This window comes from Homo sapiens, chromosome 13 (assembly GCF_000001405.40).
Source record: "Homo sapiens chromosome 13, GRCh38.p14 Primary Assembly".
NCBI classification, from domain to species: domain Eukaryota; kingdom Metazoa; phylum Chordata; class Mammalia; order Primates; family Hominidae; genus Homo; species Homo sapiens.
This window is the reverse complement of record NC_000013.11, coordinates 43,409,902-43,434,186: the sequence shown is the minus strand read 5'-3', so window position 1 is coordinate 43,434,186 and position 24,285 is coordinate 43,409,902. Positions and strand designations below refer to the sequence as shown.

General features: G+C 40.9%; 1 protein-coding gene across 31 annotated transcripts in view; it reads left to right on the top strand.

Moving 5' to 3' along the window:
* The window catches only part of ENOX1 (ecto-NOX disulfide-thiol exchanger 1), a 573,843-nt gene that overhangs the window by 352,786 nt on the left and 196,772 nt on the right, over positions 1–24,285 (top strand). For 29 of the 31 annotated variants that reach the window (XR_007063686.1, NM_001347965.2, NM_001347963.2 and 26 more), the window contains 2 exons: positions 21,199–21,342; positions 22,134–22,271. Coding sequence is in view for 30 of the 31 variants with exons in the window: in NM_001347963.2 (NP_001334892.1) it covers positions 21,199–21,342; positions 22,134–22,271 (282 nt within the window). In the remaining variant the exon portion in view is untranslated. The remainder of the gene's footprint in view (positions 1–21,198; positions 21,343–22,133; positions 22,272–24,285) is intronic. The other 2 variants (NM_001347971.2, NM_001347970.2) reach the window with 1 other exon arrangement.

Here is a 24,285-nt window from a genome sequence, read left to right as displayed (position 1 = left end):
TTAGAGAGCACATGGTTGTCACCAGGGTGACCATGTTGGCAAGAGCTCTGTAAGGTAAGTAAAGGAGGCATGAATCTGAACTGCATGAAGACAGCTGCATAGGCTATCAAATCCCAGGGAAGGCCCTACTGCCAGTGTTAGCAACTGACTGGATTGAGGCTCCCTCCAGTGCATTCTAGTGGTTTCCTTGGCCACTTCTGTGGACATCTTTATATCTTGCTGGCCCATCTCTACTGTGCAAAGACTCTAGCTTCAGGCCTGTGTCCTTACCAGGTACAAGTAATGGGTAATCACCCAGCACATTCCTCTGAGCTTACTATGAAAATATATTAAAGGTCAGTTTCCCAGGATCAGTTTTCATGGTTGCCATGCCCCTGGAAGGCCCTGACTTAGCCCTGTCTGAGGTGCGTTCCAGCAGGGAATGTTGAAGCATCTGGCAAATTGGCCATGGAACAACATGAACCATAGTTTTTGGAATAAAAAAGGAACAAATGTGTTGAAAAAACTCAGAGTGCATCACGTCATAGAAATGTGTTCTTATTACATTTAGAGCTAACTATAATTTAGGAAATTATGGATAGGATTTATTATTTTCTTATATTTAAAGAGAATAAACATATATGTGTATGTATTTTTTTAAGACAATTCTTTTAGAGCACTATTAGATTCACAGCAATTTTGAGCAGAAGGTACAGAAATTTCCCATATATCTGCTATGGTTTGAGTTTGTCCCCACCAACACTCATGTTGAAACTTGATCCCCAGTGTGACAGTGTTGGGAGGTGGGTCTAATAGGAGGTGTTTGGGTCATGGGATTAGATCCCTCATGAATGGCTTGGTGTTGTTCTTGAAGTAGCGAGTGAGTTCTCGCTCAAGGAAGACTGGATTAGTTCACTGAGGAATGTTCTCATGAGAGTGGGTTATTATAAAAAGGATGCCCCTGAGGTTTTGCCTCTTCACACATGTTCACTTCCCCCTTGATTTTCTCTGCCATGCTATGATGCAGCATGAAACGGCCTCACCAGAAGCCAAGCAGATGTTGGCACCATGCCTTTTGTACAGCCTGCAGAACCATGAGCTAAATCTTTATAAAGTACTTGGCCTCGGGTATTCTGTTATAGCAACCCTAAACAGACTAAGAGATAGCCCCAGACCTCAGACATGCATGGTCTCCCCCATATCAACATCCCCCTCAGAGTTGTTACAATTGATAAGCCTACGTTGACACCAGAGTTCACAGTGTGGATGTGTTTTATTGACAATTAATTGCTGTTTGGTGAATAGGGTTAACGATTTGTATCTAGCAAAAAGAATAAGGCAGCGCTGCTCCTTTGAGGTAATAGTGTCTGAATCCCCCTTAAAAAAAAGAAATAAATAAACAAAAAAACTTAAAGGGCGAAAGTAGAAAGCAACAATAATAACCACAAAAGCAATTCATAAATGAATCTCAGGGCTGAGACGGAGTTGAAACTGTACACAGATCTTTAAAATGTCAAAGTCATTTTCTTTCTTTCTATTTTTATTTATGTATTTATTCATTTTTTGAGACAGAGTCTCACTCTGTTGCCCAGGCTGGAGTGCAGTGGTACAATCTCAGCTCACTGCAACCTCTGCCTCCCAGGCTCAAGCAATTCTCGTGCCTCAGCCTCCCAAGGAGCTGGGATTACAAACATGCGCCACCACGCCCACCTCATTTTTTTTTCTATTTTTAGTAGAGATGGGGTTTCACCATGTTGGCCAGGCTGGTCTCGAACTGGCGTCAAATTGATCCACCTGCCTCGGCCTCCCAAAGTGCTGGGATTACAGGTGTTAGCCACTGTACCCTGCCTGATTTTATTTCTTATGAGTCCAGAAAAATCATAACTTCTGGCGATTACTATATTTCATTGTCCTTGAAAATACAGTGAATTTTATTTGAGTGTTTATTTGTTTGCATTTGAAAATGCAGTTTTTATTATTATAGGGTGTGGTAAGGCCAACAGATCAGGAGACGACTGCCATAGAAAAGATAGTTTGTTATTCACAGTTCCAAAGAGAAGGAAGCTTGCCACACCACACAACGAGGAGCCACACAGGGAGGCGCCAGGGTCAGTCAGAAGGGAGAGGAAGTGAGAGCGCCTTTATTGTGATTTCTGCAAAACAGGAGGCAAGGCAAGGTGGAATAAACAGGCGTAGGATGGGCTAGTTTGAATAATTTAAGCTCTGGGGTATAAGGCCTATACTTGGCTCCGGGGTGATTAGGCCAGAGGAATAGTGGTTCAGCATCTGAGAGCCAGTAAAGGAGGTGTTCGAGGGTCTGGGATCTGGATTGGTTGGTTTGCCTATGACGTGTGTGCTCCCAGGTGAGGCGTTTGCTCTCTTGGATTGGCTAGCCCTGGGAGGGGAGATCCCTCCAATGTCAGCAAGGACCCATATGTCAAAGCATCAGGAATATAGAAAATCAAACAGTAATGATTAATACGGTGTGTTTATACATATTTATGTGTGTATGTATATATACACCCACTCATAATATTTAATCAATGAATTTGCGTATGTGGGAGGGAAGGGTGTGTGTCTACTAAGTACTAGGCACTGTTTTGGCTGATGGCAATTTACCAAGAAAAACATTTTTAAAAGGTTAAAAATAAGTGTGCCCTCATGGATGACTAATTTATCAAAGAAATAACTATGTAATATAACCTCAGATGCCAAGAAATCCTAGAGAGAAAGAAAATAAGGCTAGTAGAAGGACAGAAGGTGACGCAGTTGCTATTTTAGGTAGAGGTCAGGGATGACATTTCGTCAGAGAAGGGCCCAGGTGAGGGAGCAGGGTGGTTGCGCAGTTACCTGGAGGAACCACAAGTGCAGAGTCACTAAGAGAAGATCACACTTGCTAGGCTCAAGGAAGAGTAAAAGCATCTGTGTTGCGGGAGCTCCAAGAGAAGAAGCAGCTTTAGGAAATGATGTTGCCAAGGTGACCAGGAGCCAGAAACTGAAGGACTTTGGAAACCACCTAAGAAGGATGGGAAACTGTGTCTGTTTCTGCGAAGCTGAAAACCTAAGCCCTATGAAGACAAGAGTTAAGCTTTAAAATCAAAATGCAAACGAAGTAGCCATCAGCCCACTCTATTTCCTTATTTTCTACACTATTAGATTTTTTTTTTATGTTCATTTGAAATGGCTTAGTTTGCAAATAGGGAAGCTTAATATCTTTCTCCCCAAAGATCTACATTTAGAAGTCATTTTTACAGTTTAAAACAAACAAAAACTTCTCCACACAATGCAAAAGGACAGCTTCAGGTCATGACTGAAAATGACTTTCTATACCTTTGAGTTGCCTTGGCATCCATGTGGTATTTAAATAAAACGAAATGCAATTTTTTTAACTGCTACACTTTTGTAAATCTAAGAGATGAAAAAGGAGCTATGAACAATCAACAATTTGTTTTTATTTTCTATTAAATTGTAGTGTTTTTTGCACTTGGTATCATTTACTGAATATAAAGTAAAATTCGCTTGCACTCCACTTACTGTAAGAGCGCCTACAAAGAAAACCTCATTTCAAATCTAATTGTGGACATTGTGCCTTCATTAAAAATTCATAGGGTTTGTGAATGTGTCACATAAGTATGAGTCTCCGTTATTTCCTCAGCTCTTTTCCCACTGCCAGTTCTGATCAGAATTTTAAAACACCCATATCAAGAAAGGTGTTCTCTGAAGAACAAAAAAAAAGAGGGAATAAAGAAAAGAAATTATGAATGGAAATAGAAAGACCTTGTGACCAAATATGCTGCAGTTTTCCAATTTTGCTTCAGTATATGTAGGTCAATAGGCAGGGGCAAAACAACCTTCCCTAACCTCTACATCTTGGTATTGCTATTTAACTACTTCCTCTCAGCAAATTTAAGTTTGTTGATTACTAGTAGCTGATCAGTTGTTTGTTTTGTTTTATGTAAAGGGAGGACACTAAAGAGTAGACTGTTGAAGTTAGCTTCTTCTCCATCCTAGTTCTCACACTTCTTCATCCACATCAGCAAGACCTCCGTAACATACAAAATGCATATTTTGTGCACGTTGCTCACACAGTGGACAAGATAATCAATGCTACACAGTTAAATCATTTGGGTAGGCTCCATGTTGAGAGCCTATTGTTTACACTTTATATGCATTCACTGATTTGCATCAAGAATATGCAAAGTCAAGAAAACTAGTGGAAAGCATAAAATAAGAACATAAAACTGTAACAAAACTGTGATCACATGGCGTGAAAGAAATATACCTTTCTGGATTTCATATATAAGTGTGCAGTAATTGTATTATGTTTATTATATTTTGGAAATTACCTTTTCTCCTCATATAATCTTATTTTTGCAATTTAGCTTAGCAAGGAGCTTCCAAATCCAGAAACAATTTCAGCTCAATACAATTGGAAGGATATGACTATAACCTCCATTTTATTTTGCATCACATTTTTAATATTAATTCATGTTTTCTCTTTTCCTTGCTGCCCTTCCTAACATGGCCTGCTCATCTATTTGGTCCCCAAGCATGGCTCCAACAGCAGATTACATATCCAAAAGATCCCTGCCATTGCTGGTCATTGAATTTCACATTACACAAGTCTTTCCCCATTTGATCTACTGAACCAAAGGAATTTACAAACCAAAATTGTGATGCTTATGCCGAATCCCAGTCACACACAGGCTCAAACTACCTAGTTTATTATTCTGCTGTCATGTGTATCAACAATGAATCAAAGCAAAATACTTGTAGAAAAAAAAATGCAGACCAGAATATGTACTTTTCAGGTGGGAATAGTGGCTGGGAAGTTGTGCTCATGAAGCTGTCCTTAACAGAGTTTTTGCTGCTGCCATCGTAGTCGAAAGCATTTCTTTCAGAGGGCCTATCTAAAGGGATCTAGATTTTAACTCTCAAAATATATGACCGTTTTGCTAGTAATGTTTTATTCCTTTCAGCTCCTCCAAAAGGCATTATACGTTAGCCTCTCCAATGACTCGTGAGATGAGGCTTGAAAGCATCAAGTGGAAAAGCTCAGGAAACTGGCCCACAGGGTACTTGTGACAGGAGCTCTCCTCTGGTATGCAAATTGTGCTGCCAAACTGCTGTGCACGTTTCTTAGGAGAGTCAGAGAAAGCGACTTGCCCAGATCAGTTCTCAGGGTTTCAGTTTGTCTCTACTGAGAATGAAAAAATAGCCGCCACAATGGGTGATGATTCTAATCAGCATGCAGAGGGACTTTGATTTCAGTGTCCCACATGATAACTGACATAGATCCTCACTCTTTCAGCACCTCTAGAATGTCAGCTATCCCTTGGAATAGGAGTTAGAAGTTGGGTTTTCTGGTTTATCCAGCTTGTGGCTTTACCCACCTCCACAGTACCCCCCACCCGCCTCACCAACCCTAGTTTCTGTAGCTCCTATTCCCAATGACAGGTAGAAAGGAGAACTGCATTCCAGGCCTCTTCCTTGTAGCTAGCTGCCAACATGATGAGATAGCTCGTGTTAGAGAGAGTGTATTTGGTACAAGTAAGAGAAGTAGAACAGAAGAAGGTTCTGGCAGAAAGGGGATGAGGTAAGAAAAAGTAATAGTAACCTGACTCCACCTCCCAGCCTTTCTATATATAAAGCTGGGACCAGCCTTTCTACTTTGCCATCCGCCTCACTCACTAGTGCATTCTATCAGGCAGTACAGTTGTGGTGAGGGTGTGGATGATTTAGAGATTGCAAATAGAAGCTGTTGACATGGGGAGAATGGACCTGGACAGTCCTTGATAATGATGATGTTTATACCTTCTTTATCCCAAGCTCTCAGCTTAAACCATCAGTTTGCCCTCAATATATATATTTGGACTGAGTTAAGCCCAATTTGGATTACAGATCAACCCTAGGTAGAAACTTTATATGTTTGTTCTCTCTCTCTCTTTCTCTAAGTACACAATTATTATTCTGACTTATTTAAGAAAAATGTGCCTCTCAATAAAGCATGGGTCTTGAGTTGTCTTTCAGCAGTGATTTCTGCTGGTTTGCCCAGATTCTTTCACTTGCCTACTTCTAAAACTGAAGTCGAGAGTTTGAGAAGGCTGACTGGGGTAAGGGCCATGTAAAGGTGCAACAAATCTTCAGGTCCTGATTGCCATGGAAACCTCAGACCAGGGCTTGACCTTGCCATGACAGGCTATCTCCTGGTGCATTGCTGATGTTGGCACTTTCCCTCCAAGCAACTTACTACTCCTGGCTCATCCTTCTGGTTTCAGCCAACTTTTTTTGTTTTCTTTCTTTTTAGAAGCAGATGTCTAGCAGGGTTTCCTTTACCAAGCCTAGTAGAAAGCCTAGTAATACATAAATAAGTGGTCTTATCCAGAATCTAGTTGTTGTTTTCTTATAAGAGGCATGTTCCTAAGAATATCTAATTTGCCATGCTATAGCAAGTTCATGTCTGCTGGTACTTTTTAGTTTGTTTAGTTACCTGACTGTATTATTGCAAACTTTTTGAAGACAGGGTCTATGTCTTGTTCACTATTACGTTCTTGGTATCAAGCACAGTGCTACATACAGTCAACATCTTATAAAGATATGTTGCATAAATAAATCTACCCCCAGGGATGGAACTAACCTTTACCCTAGACTTCTTTCTCTCTTTAGAGCCAGTTAAACCCAGAGGAACCTTCTAGTCTGACTCTTTGTGGGAGAAAGTTGGAGTTCCCCAAATCTGTAACAACAGACATCCAGGCTAGGGTACATTGAGTCCTGGGCTCTGCCATTCATTGGCTTTCTGACCTTGGGTAAAAATCCAAAGGAATAGCCTTCTGGACCTTAGTTTATTTTCTTTTGTAAAAAGTTGGAATAACATCTATCTCATAGGTTGTTGTGAGTCTTTTTCATGAGATCGAGGATGTGAGTTTCTTGCCACAGTGACTGCTGTATAGGGAGCTATTTTCCCAGCGGTTCCATCTGGGGAGTGTGTTGGCTGGCAGATAAGGAGTAACGGAATGGCATTCCCCTTTTACTTTATAGACTTTAGCTTTGTTTGAACTCATTACATGTATCAGCAATAATATTTTTAAAACAAAAAAATCCCCACCTCTCTAGTGTATATTGATATTTACTCTCAGATTGAAGAGAACTGTGTCATTGCATTTCTGTGCAAATTTTATCCCTAGAGAAAAGGATGGTGAATTAGCCAGTAGTTAAGAATGATAGCAAGAGTTTGGGGAGTGCATTTGAATGAAGGTGGTGACCCCTATTAAAGTAAGGGTTTGGTCATACAGTGAGAAGTCTGGACATGATGGTGCATTTTGTTTTATGTTGATTATGTGTCTCACTGTCACATCTACCTTATTTTTATCTTATTAGCAAAATTCTGTGTGTAGTAGACACTGTCAAGTTGATATCTTGGATGAGTACACAAAAATATGTCTACTTCAGTGTGCAAGTAATAAAATCATCATCCTAATTGCCGTAATAGTCAAGACCTGGTGAATATTTGGAGTTGACAGCCACTGCAGTTCTCAAATGCCCTCACTTCAGACACTGCACTGCTTAACCACCACTAGTTGCTGGTTATTTTCTTAAGTTGTTATTTTTCAATAAACATTATCTCATCATAAGCCATAAAATTGAGAATTGCTCAAGAGTAAAGATATCAGAGGACTTGAAAAGCAGAAGATCTTTTTCATTAACACTAGAAACGAAAAAAAAGTAATAATGCTGGTGGGAATTCTTTTAAAATATTTGTTTAGTTTGGGTTTAAGCCATCTAGCTGTGAAAATAGTAAACCATCGTAGCAATAGCAATATATTGCAGTTCCCACAAAGAACATTCAGCACGATTTCTTTTTTATAAATAATAAAACCTAAATACATACGATGACTCTAAGCTAACATGAAATTGCATTCGGTACCATGAGCCAGATATTTTTCTCTCTCATCTGTATTCTTTAAGGTCAATTTTTGCTCATGCCTCCTTCTTCTTTTCCACAATTATTTATGTAATCCATGAATAAATAACGGAATGGCATTCGATCCTGAACTGAGTTTGGCAAATTTGAGAGGAAGTATAGCTTTATCTTACACACAGTAGGCAGGAAGGAGACAGTGCCTCAGAACACAACCATTTAAAACCTTTCTAGGCAGCAGCAGATTTACTTACTCCATATCAGATCAAACATAACAAGTGTGTTCACATCTGATGTTTAGTATAAGTTTGTTTATAGGAACTTTGGAGATGATTTTTTAAATCATTTTGCTTTTGAAATTATTTGCCTGCAAGTTATTTCTTTCATTTAAAACCAGCTCTAATTTCTCCATAATGGTGCACACTCAGTAATTTCTGCAAAGTGAGATAGCCCAGTTACAAATGGTTTTCAACTATAATGACTTTCATGTGAATACTAAATTTGATAATTAGAATTGTCATAATATGGAATTTATAAACATTTAGTTAAATATTTGTTTTAGATAGTGTGCTTTTCATTGCATGTTGACACAAAATATTTTCAGGTCTTCATCATTATTGTAGACCTTATGCCTCTAGTGCCTAGTTGAGAACACAGCCCTAGTTAAAAAAATAGACTAGTTGCTCAGAGGCAGATGGGTCCTTTGGTCTGTAAGACTGTAGTAGAAAAAGAGACTATTTGAGGAACATAGTCCTCCAAATGCCATCTCCTTGTAAGGAAGGATTTTTATGTGGCATTCTTAAGAGGCAAATATCTCCTCCTATTGAAAAGGAGAATGTGTTAATGGGGGACGGTAGGGGTGGAGGACATTTTAATGCAAATCTGTGACCAAGACAGACAGAGGGTAAAGGCCTTGGGTCTGTAGCAACAGTGTTTTGTAGTGCCCTTCAACTTTGCCTTCAGAGCTGGAGCCTTTCCATCAGCATTTATTCTCTCATCTCTTTTGATGGGGGTGGGAGCCTCCATGGAGGTTTTCTGGGTTATGAGGGCCTGCTGAGATAACCAGGTGTAGCCAATTCCTGCTTTTGATGATGCCTGACCTCCAAAAGCAGCTAGAACATAAAGACCTTTTACCAAGAAATAACCAGGATTCAGCTTCTGAATCATGTATGTTCCTGGAGGTTGGAACCACCTTTCTGTGCCCCCTAATCTGCCTCTAGCCTCAGGAGCCTGAATACCTTTTGGACACTCAGGCCTTTTTCTCTTCTGAGCACCTTCATTTAAATCTTGCTGGATATAACCAGCAGCACTAAAGGTTTGACCCATTTCCTCAGAATGCTCACTGCTGAACTGGAACTTTCCAACTGGATGTGCTGCTGTGCAGTCATTTGCATCAGGCTCCTGTGCCCCCATAGCCCTCCCCTAACTACCCCATCATGCCTTCTGGGTTACTCCCAGTGATATAGCCATACCATTTATGAGGCCCTGAGAAGCAAAAAGGACCATCACAGGGGACCCAAGGCTCCACTGTTCTTGCTCACTGGTTACAGAGCATGAGCAAGGGCTATGGGTGGTCATTTAGAGAAAGATAAAGCAAAGTCTCTCACCCAGGGCAATCCATGCAAGGTGGGTGTGTTCTGCTAACGCTCCCTGTCCCAGGGCGATCATGACTGCAGGGCTAATGCTTTATTCATCATGCGGCAGTGGCATCATTAAGAGCACATTTGTTTAAAGAGTAACTAATATGTTATTTGTCACCCTACTGGGAGAAATGTTAAACAGGATGAGCAACTGGCTCAGGCTGGTCTTGGTCTGATCTGGGTTTTATTGCAGGTAGATTTCCATAAATTAAAGGGCTCTAACCAGGGCTTTTTGGAAAATAGATAACTAATTTGCCAGTTTGCCACCATTTAAGGGTCAGTTATTTATCCACTACAATTAAAATGTTCCACTTTCTAGCTTAATATGTTTTCCACGGTTGGGTCAAGGTGTAAAATGAGTACATAATGAAAAAGCTGAGCACAAAACAGCACAAATTATAGAATTATATATTGTCTGATTTCCTTTATGTAAGAAGACAATAATGTTTACAGAAATTGCTTTCTGTGTATCAGTGCAGCTGAAGAGGCCGGGATGTGACCAACATTGCCTTTCTGTACTGTGTATGCATACAAAATTATGCTTTGATTTGTTGCCATGTGTATGGTTTATAGAATTCACCTCTTTTGATGGCTATATCTTTGAAGCCTGACATCCACCTGAAATCTTGTCCCAGAGGCCTTATCCCTTCCTCAAGACGACTCTTTCCTGTCTCTCTTGCTCTGTCTCAGGAGTCCATAGCTTTGCCATTTTAATTGAGGCTTTTATTTAGTTACAACATTCTGTTTACATTGTCTACTCTTTAGAACTTTTAGAATGTGAATGTGAAAAGAACACAAGAGTGCAAACACAGAAAAAATTTGACCAGGGGGAGGCAAGAATTATCTGATATGTCCTTAGTTACTTTCATAAATTTATCTGTGGCTAGGTAAGATGGTAGTTAAGCCTCAGTATCCCTATTCCAGGGATAGAAGAGTCACTTTCCAAGACCACATATCACTGCAGAGGTAGGGTTTGAGGACAGAATTTAGATTTAGATCTCCTGTTCTTCAGATAGGTGCTCAGGAGAGAGAACGGTGAACTCTTAGGACTATCTGGCACAGTGAGCTGCCACACCCATCACTAGCTGAGGCTGGATAGTTGCCTGTCAGAAACATTTTGGAGACATGTTTATCTGGGAGAAGTAGGAATTGATAAACTCAGGTTTTACCTGATTCTTCAAACCTTGATGAATTACTCTATGAACCTGTATGTGTTTGCCCTGAATCCCAGGGGCTTAGAAAAGCTTTGCGTAAAATGGGACTCTTCTAGCTTTAATGGATCCAGGCTTATGTTTACTGATAATATTGCTTTCTTGAATAATTTACTCACCAGCAAAGTCTAGCGGTGATCACTTTTTTTTTTATGGTCTGTGTATTTTGGAAAGTAGAAAACAACAACATATGACAGCAGGTTGTGTATGTGGTTGATTGATATCCATGAATGAGGGGAAGGAGTTGAGCCATTACGTATTTCATAAACTGTCTTCAAGTCTAATGTTGCCCTTTTCAGAAAATCTCTAGAAGTCTAAATGTGAAAGGTCCTACACTTTAAAACCTGCCTATACAAAGACTTTAAAACTGCATACAGTAGCCTCCCTTCCCCACAGAGGATATGTGGCAAGATCTCCAGTGGCTTCTGGAAACCTCCGATGGTACCAATCCCTACATATTACCATAGTAGCATCAAGGCCTGTTTTCTTTTCTTTTCTGTTTTTAATGGAAAGAGGGGCACTTTATACATAAGGTCTCAAGATTTTTTTTGTTATTTGTTCAATTTAGATATATAAAGCATATTTTTTTCCAAAAGCAAAGTTTTCCTGAGAAAAATAATTTTACTTGTCATGTCTCTACACTTATATTTGTAATGCCGAGTGATATTTTTCTTTGTGCCAAAAGAAAATTGTTCTTCTCTGCTGTCCTGCACATGCTAGTTGAGTTGTCTCCTTGGCAAATTTGGTCATTTTGTTTGATTGCATGTTTTTAGAGGGGGGCCTTCAGGTCATCTCTCTTTCTGTCTCTTTCTCTCAATATAGAGTTCTTCAAAGATAGACATGCTGTGGGTAAAACCTTACCCATTTAGAAACCATGTCCTCTCTAAGATGGAAAGATGATGATTTGTAGTTTAAAATTGGCTGCTATACAAAGTAGAAAAGTGGAGGATGTAATCACAAACCAATAATGGAATTTCATGTTTGAGAAATGGTTGGGTCTGCTTTTCATCCTCTGTGGTGCATGCCAAATGGAAACTTTTCCTTTCTTCCAACAATTTCACTTCTTTAGTACTGTACATATATGCCTTTGTTACACTAATGTACTGCTTAATGGGTCTGGAGATGCAGTTATTTATAGATTTCAGCTCATTCAAAGAGCAGCTGCAAGAAGTCTCACAAAAGGAGAACATCACTGTAACCTGCTTGTGATCCTACATTGGTTGCCAGGGAGGTGTGGAATCTTAAAGCTTAGAGGGTGACTTGTTAAGTGCATCTAAAGCTTATCTTGAAAGATCTGACAGATTTTTTTTTAATTGTCATTCTTTGACACTTTGAATTCATCTGTATTCTAGTATACAAGAAAAATCCCTCCACCCTCATTGTGTTCTTTAGCTTTAAACTTCCAAGCTTTGGGACTAAATTCTGGAACTGAGATTTTTTTTTTTCTTGGTTCCTTTATTATTTCCTTCTTTTCCTTTTTTTTCTTCATTTTTTACTTTCCTCTCTTCTTTCCTCCTTGCATGAATTCATTTGAAATTACATGTAAAATATTTATATTTTATATAAAACGTAAAATATATTTTATAAATTTATAACTATATTATATATATATTTAACACCTACCACATTTCAGGTACTTTGCTTGCTAGCTGCAGGGTATGCACAGATGACTAGTTTCCTTGATCATCCTAAGCTTATAGTTTATTAGAGACATGATAGAGATAAACTAACTAGAATATGAGTGAAAGTGCTGGGATAGAGCAAGGTACAGAGTGCTATGAGAGCATGGGAGAAAGAGTATATATCTCCTTTATCTTTCTGCCTTAACAGAAAACTGGAAAAAGAGTAGGAGTGGCATCTCTCCTTAGGTGCAATGTAGTGTGATGTGACACTTCAGGAAAAAGTTCAGTGATTTTATAAACACAGATGGTCCCTGATTTAGGATGGTTCAACTTATGCTTTTGGGACATAACTCCATTGGGATGTAACTCCAAGTCAAGAAGCTCCTTACAACTTGTGATGGGGTTATGGTTTCTACTGAATGCACAGTGCTTTCTCACCATCGTAAAGTTAAAAAATTGTAAATTAAACCATCGTCATTTGAGGACTGTCTGTTGTATTGCCAGCATTAAATACATTTTCATCTTACTATTTTTTCAACTTAATGGATTTATCAGAATGTAACCTTATCATAAATTGAGGAGCATCTGTATATGAATAACTAGTTAGATACTAAAGAAGACCTTTTGATTTCATGGGTTTGACACTAAGTGCTATAGGGTTCTCCCCTATCTGAATTGATCTTTGTCCAACTCCATTTTCTGCCCATACTGTTTCCAAGAAATGGCTTTTCTCTCCATCACTGAGAAAGAGCTTTTAAGTGTTATTTGATATAATACTCCTACTTTACAGTCATCTCATCAGAAATTCCCCATGATATGCCTAATCTAAATCTATTCCTCAAAACCTTAATCCTATTATTTCCCATTAATCAGCTGACATTGATCATTAACAAATAATCACCATCCTCTATATTTAACAGATTTGAGTCTTTATCATGCGTTATCATGTAGGATGTTATATAATCCCATTAGCTACCTTTTCATTCTTTTCTTGAAACTCTCCTCTAAGTGCTCCCCAATACCCCAAAACTTACTCCTATCTAAGAAATAAGGAGTAACAGATTTAGCTGACATTTCTGGGGAGGGGCTGAGGAGAGATTTACACTGTATGCTTCCCAGTGAAACCACCTGAAATTCTGCTTAAGTCATTGATCTTCTCTGTAGTCATCTTTTCTTCATGGGTGGGCACCAAAGATCCCTCCTTTCTTTCCCCTCAGAACATTCAGCTTTTATGTTTTCTTTTACCACACTTTACAGAGCAATTCCTACTCTGCCCCTAAACTTGCAGATTCCACTCACCTCCCTTAACAATAAGATGAAACACCCAGTAGTTAACAGGACCCATTCTCCTTAGAAGCCAGATTAGTAACCCACTACAATAATCAGAGAATGTCCTTTGAACTGCTTTTGTATATGAAAAGATGATAGTGAGAATTTTACAAAACTGATGGAAGATATTAAGATTTTTAGTTGTTCCTCAGTGGGAAGATTGATCTACAGTTACATAGTTTATCATTACAGGAAGCAGAAGTATCTCCCCTACTATTCATAATTGCTTAAAGAATCAAAGAGTTAATACATAAGCATACCTACTTCACAATTATCTATATTGTTTTAAACCGTGGAACATTTCCATAACCTCGAGAGTATGGCACTGACTATGTGAAGATCGAAGTTAGGTATTTCCTTAGTGATGGAAAAGGAGAGTGAACTTTGGAAGGAAATGTATCTTTCTTTTTACTGTAAATATATACCATGATAATGCTAATGGAGAGTTCTTATAAAATAAGAAATTTGCTGATACCATATGAAATAAGCTTCCTTTGGTATCAGCTCTTTTCTTTTTGAGATGGAGTTTCACTCTGTTGCCTAGGCTGTAGTGCAGTGGCTTGGTCTTGGCTCACTGCAACCTTTGCCTCCCAGGTTCAAGCCATTCTCCTGCCTCAGCCTCCCAGGTAGCTGGGACTACAGGTGCACGTCACCACGCCCGGCTAATTCTTGTATTTTCAGTAGAGATGAGGTTTTACCATGTTGGCCAGGTTGGTCTCAAATCCTGGCCTCAAGTGATCCACCCACCTCGGCCTCCCAAAGTGCTGGCATTACAGGCATGAGCCACCGTGCCTGGCCTGGTATCAACTGTTTACAAGACATTAAGAAATCTGATTCTTTCACCACAATTATTTTGTTATTGAAGTAGGTATAAACCTAAGGACTTAGACCAAACAAAATCATGCTTTTTTTTGGTTTTGTTTTGTCTTTTTTTAAGACAGGGACTCAATCTGTTGCCCAGGCTAGAGTGCAGTGGCACAATCTCAGCTCACTGGAACCTCTGCACCCCTCACTCCCCAGCTCAAGCAATCCTCCCACCCCAGCGTCCTGAGCAGCTGGGACGACAGGAGGGCACTACCATGCTTGACTAACTGTTTAAGGTTATTGTAGAGATGAAATCGCCCTATGTTGCCCAGCCTGGTCTCAAACTCCTGGGTTCAACCAATCCTCCCACCTTGGTCTCCCAAAGTGGATTATAGATATTAGCTCCTATCTGGGGTTGTAGATATGAGCCACCACACCCAGCCTTTTTCTTTTTTTCAATAAGAAGGATTTTTCAATACCTAGCTGATCTCTACCCTCCTTTAACAGGAATCTGTGTTTTGTGGACAATTACAGGTAGGTTTTATTATTCATGATGTGTGCATCGCTGATACCTATAGAAATTGTTCAAGCGATTCTCCTGCCTCAGCCTCCCGTGTAGCTGGGACTACAGGCACCCGCCACCATACCCAGCTAAGTTTTGTATTTTTAGTAGAGACGGGGTTTCACTATATTGGCCAGGCTGGTCTCAAATTCCTGATCTTGTGATCCTGCCACCTCAGCCTCCCAAACCTGTGCCATTTTTTAAGCCAAATAGTATTTTCATAGACTTGATAAGTTTCAAAAAATATTTGCCCCATTATCTAGCCCAATGAAATACTGAACATAAATATATTTTGTTGAACAGTTATGAAATTGGTATGAGATTTTATACTTGAATATATCTTAACAGGAAACAAGTTAGATATCTGTTAAGGCCAAACAAAGCTGTACTTTTATCCTTGGCATTTTGTGTATCAGATTGTTTTGTGGTGCTCATACTTCATTAAAGCTGTAAGTAGAAACTGCCAATTTCATAATTGGTCATGAATCTCTTGAAAGTTTTTGTAGTTGCATAGGCAGAAAAAACCTAGAGAGAAAATATTTATACATCTTTTAAGTTACATCGTATTATTTATTTTTATTTATTTTTATTTTTTTGAGACAGAGTCTTGCTGTTGCCCAGGCTGGAGTGCAGTGGCACAATCTCAGCTCACTGCAACCTCTGCCTTCTGGGTTCAAGCGATTCTCCTGCCTCAGCTTCCCAAGTAGCTGGGATTACAAGCATGCACCACCACACCCAGCTAATTTTTATATTTTTAGTAGAGATAGGGTTTCACCACGTTGGCCAGGCCAGTCTCGAACACCTGACCTCAGGTGATTGGCCCGCCTCCACCTCCCAAAGTGCTGGGATTACAGGCTTGAGCCACTGCGCCCAGCCTTAAATTACATTATATTATTTTATGTATTTACTTTTTTAGAGATGGAGTCTCACTCTGGCAACTAGGCTGGAGTGCAGTGGTGTGATCTCGGCTCTACAACCTCTGCCTCCCGGGTTCAAGCAATTCTCCTGTCGTAGCCTCCTGAGTAGCTGGGACTACAGGCATGCGCCACCATTGCTGGCTAATTTTTGTATTTTTAGTAGAGACAGGGTTTCACCATTTTGGTCAGGCTGGTCTCAAATTCCTGACCTCAGATGATCCACCCGCCTCGGCCTCCCAAAGTGCTGGGATTACAGGTGTGAGTCACCGCACCTGGCCTACCTCATATAATTTTATAAAGGAATGGTGGAAAATGAAATATTGTGCTCCAACTGAGGTGTGGCACAGAAAACTAGGGCAACACTTACTTTTAGAAATATCAAGTGTTACTCACTGTTTTAGAATTAATTACATAATTATCTACCAGAACACAAAGATCCCAGGGTATCTTAATGGAAACACTACATTTCCAAATAAAATAGTAATAATTATCACCTACTGTATTCAGAGTGCTTTATTAGCTATAATTTTTAACTCCCCACATCTCTGTGTGTAAATAAACATCGCTAAGAAGATTAATCTTTTCTATAGTTTAGAAATAATAAAACTAAGGCAGAGAAATTGATGTGAATGATAAATTAGGCATTATGGTCTTGAATCATTTAAAGAGGCAGGTATTCAATAGGAACAATAGATGCTAACAAAGTACCAAAATCATTCTTGCAACTATTCATAAATTACTAGTTGGTAATTAATTAAAAGTATTACCTTTCTTCCAAAATGAGTGACCGAATCAACTTAAATTTTGTGAACAATGTCACGGCAGCCTTGAGACTATTGGAAATTCCTAAGATGTGACAGAGCTTACTTTAGAATCACCATCCCAGGCACATGGTAGCCACAGTAAGTTGTATGTCATTAAAACCATTAGATTGGCCCTCTCCCTCTCCCTCTCCCTCTCCCGTCTCCCGTCTCCCGTCTCCCGTCTCCCGTCTCCCGTCTCCCGTCTCCCTCTGTTGCTGAGGCTGGACTGTACTGCTGTGATCTCAGCTCGCTGCAACCTCCCTGCCTCGGGCTCCCCTGATTCTCCTGCCTCGGCCTGCCGAGTGCCTGGGATTGCAGGCGCACGCCACCACGCCTGACTGGTTTTTGTATTTTTGGTGGAGACAGGGTTTCACCCTGTTGACCGGGCTGGTCTCCAGCTCTTGACCTCGAGTGATCTGCCCGCCCCGGCCTCCCGAGGTGCTGGGATTGAAGACGGAGTCTCACTCACTCAATGCTCAATGTTGCCCAGGCTGGAGTGCAGTGGCGTGATCTCGGCTTGCTACAACCTCCACCTCCCAGCGGCCTGCCTTGGCCTCCAAAAGTGCTAAGATTACAGCCTCTGCCCGGCCGCCACCCCATCTAGGAAGTGGGGAGCGTCTCTGCCTGGCTGCCCATTGTCTGGGATGTGAGGAGCCCCTCTGCCCGGCCGCCCTGTCTGGGAAGTGAGGAGCGCCTCTGCCTGGCCGCCACCCCATCTGGGAAGTGAGGAGTGCCTCTGCCCCGCCACCACCCGGTCTGGGATGTGAGGAGCGTCTCTGCCTGGCCACCCCGTCTAGGAAGTGAGGAGCGCCTCTGCCCGGCTGCCCTGTCTGGGAAGTGAGGATCGCTGCTACCTGGCCGCCCTGTCTGGGAAGTGAGGAGCGCCTCTGCCCGGCCACCCATCATCTGGGAAGTGAGGAGCGCCTCTGCCCGGCCACCCCATCTGGGATGTGAGGAGCGCCTCTGCCCGGCCGCCCCGTCTGGGATGTGAGGAGCGCTTCTGTCCGGCCGCCCCGTCTGGGATGTGAGGAGCGCTTCTGTCCGGCCGCCCCATCTGGGAACTGAGGAGCGCCTCTGCCCGGCCGCCCCGTCTGGGAAGTGGGGAGCATCTCTGCCCGGCCGCCCCGTCTGGGAGATGGGGAGCACCTCTGCCCGGCCACCCATCATCTGGGAAGTGAGGAGCGCCTCTGCCCAGCCGCCCCGTCTGGGATGTGAGGAGCGCTTCTGTCCGGCTGCCCCATCTGGGAACTGAGGAGCGCCTCTGCCTGGCCACCCCGTCTGGGAAGTGGGGAGCATCTCTGCCCATCCGCCCCGTCTGGGAGATGGGGAGCGCCTCTGCCCGGCCACCCATCATCTGGGAAGTGAGGAGCGCCTCTGCCCGGCTGCCCCGTCTGGGAGATGGGGAGCGCCTCTGCCTGGCCGCCCTGTCTGGGGTGTGAGGAGCGCTTCTGTCCGGCCACCCCATCTGGGAACTGAGGAGCGCCTCTGCCCGGCCGCCCCGTCTGGGAAGTGGGGAGCATCTCTGCCCGGCCGCCCCGTCTGGGAAGTGGGGAGCGTCTCTGCCCGGCCACCCCGTCTGGGAAGTGAGGAGCGCTTCTGCCCGGCCGCCCCATCTGGGAGGTGTACCCAACAGCTCCGAAGAGATAGCGACCATCGAGAATGGGCCATGATGACAATGGCGGTTTTGTCAAAAAGAAAAGGGGGAAATGTGAGGAAAAGAAAGAGAGATCAGATTGTTACTATGTCTGTGTAGAAAGAATTAGACATAGGAGGCTCCATTTTGTTCTGAACTAAGAAAAATTCTTCTGCCTTGGGATGCTGTTAATCTATAACCTTACCCCCAACCCTGTGCTCTCTGAAACATGTGCTGTGTCAACTCAGGGTTAAATGGATTAAGGGTGGTGCAAGATGTGCTTTGTTAAACAGATGCTTGAAGGCAGCATGTTCGTTAAGAGTCATCACCACTCCCTAATCTCAAGTACCCAGGGACACAAACACTGCGGAAGGCCGCAGGGACCTCTGCCTAGGAAAACCAGAGACCTTTGTTCATGTGTTTATCTGCTGACCTTCTCTCCACTATTATCCTGTGACCCTGCCACATCCCCCTCTCCGAGAAACACCCAAGAATGATCAATAAATACTAAAAAAAAAAAAAAAAAAAAAAAAAAACATTGGATTGGGAGACTGAAGAGATGTAATACATTGAATGTCACAAGAGTTTCATTGGGGGATAAATCTAGGTTTATACACCACATCTTGCCAACAGAACAATGCTTTTTTTCAGTGGAACAGTAGCAGTTGCTTACTGTTTTCAATGAAACACTTGCAGTCTGTTAAGATGGCCATGAAAGTATTAGGTAGAAACGATGGGTCTCCAGGACACTTGATGCCCCTTTATACGACTGTAACCACTAAAGTGAGAACTGCCATTGGAGCAGACTGTTACAGAGCCAAGGAAAACTAAAGCCATCCCTAAAACAGTGTAGCAAAAAGTCAAGGTGAAATGTGGTGGGTCAGGCACAAGTCATGAGCCTACAAAGTAGAGGGATGTTCTCTGATATAGTGTTCCAGAACTGCAGACTCGAGAAAAAAATGTGTGATTAATGCCCATTTGGGAAGAATCTGAGGTAGAAGGAGGCTAGCCACTAAACTTCATTTGGGGAGATAAGTAAGACAAATAGTGACGTTGCAAAGATCTGAAACAGCTCTGCTACAGGGCCATTTGAACAAAAGAATGAACACATTCTAGCCTGACTCTGCCTTGCTACTCTGAAATGGTTGGAAGTGGAGAGAGAAGTGCTTTGAGATTTCATCGTAGAAAGATCGTTGGTGAATAGACCAGACATTTAGGTTAGCTATGCATTTCTTATGCTGTTGAATTTATTTTCTATGGTGAGAATCTCTTTGTCTGATGGCACCCATAGCCTAAGATAATTGATGCACAATACACATGCAGGTTCTGAGTTCATTTGGATAGTATAGTGGGAAGGAATAAAATATTTATTCTCAGTACAATTTGCTTCCAAAGTTAGAATCATTCACTGTTGGATGATGATGATGATTCATCTTCCTGACAGACAATTGGAAAAAAATTCCACACTATCTTACATACCCCTCTAGTTGAGGGCTAGGGATTTGTTGAGACCATAAAAACTATTTGCTCATTATTCACCTGTTGTTGAGAATTGAACCCTTAGCTTCCATTTGAATTAAACTTCTGCTCAACTGATCAGAAGTTCTTTTTGACAGTGCAGTGCTCAAGGAATTACTGATTCTTATACCTAAGAATGAAAGAAACAAAAAGACATGCCATAAAAGGTTCGAACTTCACATTAGATACACTGTCAAACCATAAGATCTAATTCTAAAATCATCATTAACAGGAACATGGTTTAGAAAAACTTCTAAATTTATACTAAAATAAAAATAAATATTTAGACTTAGTTGTTATATCTAATCTACTTAAGATCAAACTTGTCATGCCACTCATCTGAGTTTTGAAATGGTGAAAGTGCACTTAAAATACATGTGAAAGCTCTGTTTTTGCATTTCTAAGGGTGGAGAGAAGGCATAGCATTTTATAAATAGTGTGAGATTGAGAAGAACTTTGTAACTTTAATGTTTAATTGTTATATTTATTAGATAAGTGCATTAAAAGACTATATATAAATATATATATATAAATATATATAAATATATAAAAATATATATATATATAAGCTGGGCAATTCTAAGGAAAATTCAAACCAAAAAGTTGTGGCCAGTTAAATTATCTTTCCAATGAGCTGAAAAAACCAAATGCTCTTCCTTTGCCTCCCTAACACCCTCTAGATCTTCCTTTATGGACAGCATGCCATTCTTCTCTTCTGCCTTTCCTGACTATTGTAATTTAGGTACCCTCCTTTTCCAGCTGCATGGTGAATGGGTTCTTCCTTTTTCCTTCCTCCTCCCAACTTTTTTCCCTCTCTGAATACATTCCACAGACGACCATCTTCCAAAGTAACAGCATCAATTAATTTTTTAACTTAAAAAAATCTTCTTTAGCCCTGACTCTGCCCTCTCCATTGATGTGTAGTGTGTGTGGAAAAGGCTGTGCAGGGACTGATAAGCCCCCATTTGTGAAGGTGCTTCAGTAGGAAGCAAGGCCTTTGAGGTACTCACAAATGGGGCTGTTTATTCAGCCAGCCCAGGCTCCTGGTGAGTCGATGAGTTGACCCACACATCTCACAGGGCTCTAAGGTTTTAACTGAGCCACAAGACAGCCGCTGAGCGATGGGAAGCAGCATTTCTTCTGTGCCTGAGACTGGAAATCGGTCTTTGTTTTTGATTTTGAATAGATAACAGTTTGTTCCTTGACGTTTTATCTCAGTTAACTATTAAGGTTTCTCACCACACTTCTGTCCCGTTTTGCAGAATCTGATGACCTCCGAGGGGACCCTGCACTCAGCCATCAAAGTGTTCCTGCCCCTCTGGACACTCATAATTCAATGGTAGATGCAGGTGGAGTTGAGAACATCACCCAGCTTCCCCAGGAGCTTCCTCAGATGATGGCTGCAGGTAAATGCCAGTGGCCAGCACAGGACACAAACAAGGATTTTTTGAGTTCTTAGTGGAAAAGCTTGCCCCACCTTGAAAAATATGCATTGAACCAGGAGCCTGGGCCCATAAAGAAATCAGTCTGTAGAACTAGTGAAAATGAAAGAGCACTAAGTCAAATTTGACACATTCTTCTGTTTTGTTTTGTGTTTTCTTAAGCTTTGTGCTACCTGTTTTTAAATTTGATTTATTTATTTAGAAATCCTTCAGAAAAGTCACGTTAGGTAGACACCTGTATTTTCTTAGTGTAATAATGTAAAAGTTTGTAAAGGAAGGAATAGATTACGAGGTAACACTTAATAAATTCAGTCAGGACCAGTTCTACTGCTTGACAACTATTTTCTTATTAGATAGAAGGCCTGCCTGCTCAAGAATTACACCTAGAAACAGTAAGCCAATTAACTTGTTTTACCAAGAGAGTATTACTGCTTTGCCTCTCAGCCTTGTGACTTAACTAACGTTGTTTCACTGGGAGAAGGAAACAATTCTTCGATTTTTTTCCAGGGGTACCTCCTTAATAGCATGCTGTGTATAATATAAACTACATGTCATTAAGTTTTCTCCCAGAAAGTATTTGGAAACACTTTGTGTTTATGTCTAGAGAAAACATTGCTGCAGATTATAGTTCTTTATTTTTTTTTTGTAGTTTGGGAATGTGCTAAATGAAGCCTCACATATCTAGAAATGTGATTTTCTTTAAAACAAACACCCTTGCCTATGGACTCTAAATCATGGTTTGTTTTTCCCCACAGCAGCCGATGGTTTGGGGAGTATAGCGATAGACACGACCCAGCTCAACATGTCCGTGACAGATCCCACAGCCTGGGCTACAGCCATGAATAACCTGGGCATGGTTCCCGTAGGGTTGCCTGGACAGCAGCTCGTGTCTGGTAAGCTTTCTCCTGGTTTCAGAGATGCTTGCAGCAGTGCCGAAGGGTGTAGGTGACAGGTGCCTGGTAATCTCTCTGTACCGCGAGTGTTGGACACAGTCTTTTATTTATGACTGGGGCATGTTTGGCAAGTTGTACTTGAGATTCTTTTCCTCATCACCTTTCTCTTCTGCCTAATAGCCTTGTTCTCAGAAAAAGCCACACTAACTGTTATTGCTATACACAGTCTTGCAACATCAATTGCGTTTTTTAAAATTGGTAAATAGAATGGCTAATATTTGCTTTCCAATTTGCAAAACTCATTCACCTACATTATCCCATTTGATTGCACTGTCTTCCCTTTATGATAGGTAGATATTTCTTTTTGTTATTGCTCTTGTTAATGTTTCCATTTTACAAATAGAGAAACAGAAGAGCAGAGTTTCGGTGACTTTTCCAGCATTGAAATGGCAGAGCTATAAACTCAGCTCAGCTGACACTAAATTCCCTGTTTTCTGTCCACCACGTGGTGAAATCCTAATACAATGCATGCATTCAGCAGAGAAAATGTTTAGAAATACCACAAAGTCAAAAGTCATCTAAAAGATTTAACCATTGAATTTAACAGGTGTTTGCTGAGGATTTTACATGTGTCCTGTAAAAAGTGCTTTGAGAAATAGAATAAATATATATGTATATAAGTGTCTTTGAAGAGCCTTTCTCTCTAAATTGAAAAAAACAAAACAAAACACCAACACCTGAAAAACAATGATAAAAATGATGTGTAGAGTCAGGTGTGTTAAGTAGTGGTGCACACTGGTAATATAATAATCAGATCGGTCACTGGGGCTTTGAGGAAAGATGTTATCAGGAAGGTGGGGCTTGAGCTAAGTCTGGAGAGATGAGTAGGATTTGTATATTCACTCACTCATTCATTCATTCAACAAATACTCATTGAGCCGCTGTCTGGTGCAGGGGCTCCCGCAGTAAACAAGACAAGTATGGTCTGCCCTCTCAGAATTTATAGTGGAGAGGTGACAACCAGGTATTATGCAGTAGTCATTGTTACAGTGGCAGAAGAAAAATTCACTTTTTGGCCATCAAAGTAGGTGAGGGTAGATGGTGTTCATTAAATAGAAACCAATCGCATTTGGAATGTGCTAAGTTCTACTCCCACATACCTGTGCACTTCATGCTGAGTTGACCAAGCATTTGTTTTTTGTTGTGTTTCTTTTTGGTCAATAGTGGCCATAAATGAAAAATTCCAAATTAACTGTAGTAATATGTGTGTGTGTGTGTGTGTGTGTGTGTACATGTGTGTATGTGTATATGTGTATACACATATATATAATATATATGGTTTCTTTTTTAATATAATAAGAAAGAATATGAAAATGGATAAGAGACCAGGGAAAGTAGGAGACAAAGGAAATACAAAGGCTGAGTTTTAAAACATTATATTTAGGATATTTATTAAGTTCTTCAAAATGCTATCAAATTCATACAATTGAAGATTAGTCTGCTCTAGGGAGGTAGGTGTACATAAATGACATTTTCTATGGCTTGAACATGTGTTTATCCCAGGCCCCTTTTCCCTAAAGCTTACATAGACAGATACTTTCTTCTAATAACTTGAAAGTAAAGATTTCTATTTTTCCACCCACATTTCCCCAGCTGCCTAATTGAAATATTCAGAGAGCAGAAGTTACTTACTCTCGTCTCACCTCCTACTTCTCTCAGAAAATGTAGTACGACTTCTAGAGTAAGCCAAAACCTTCATAATTCATTATTTTTTCTTGTAATTTTGAGTCTTCTGACGTTTTAACCATGACCAATTTATGATTTTCCCAGCAACTTGCCATGAAAAGAATTACAGCCCTACGCGTTATAGAAGATTTACCGTATCTGCCCCAAATTACTTTTTCTATCTCCTGTGTTAGCCAAATTGCTTAAACTGTTTTTGAGCCTTTCAGGGTCTTTCTGGGCTTCCCTTCATCATTTACACGGCCTGATAATTTAACTGCACTTTGCTTTG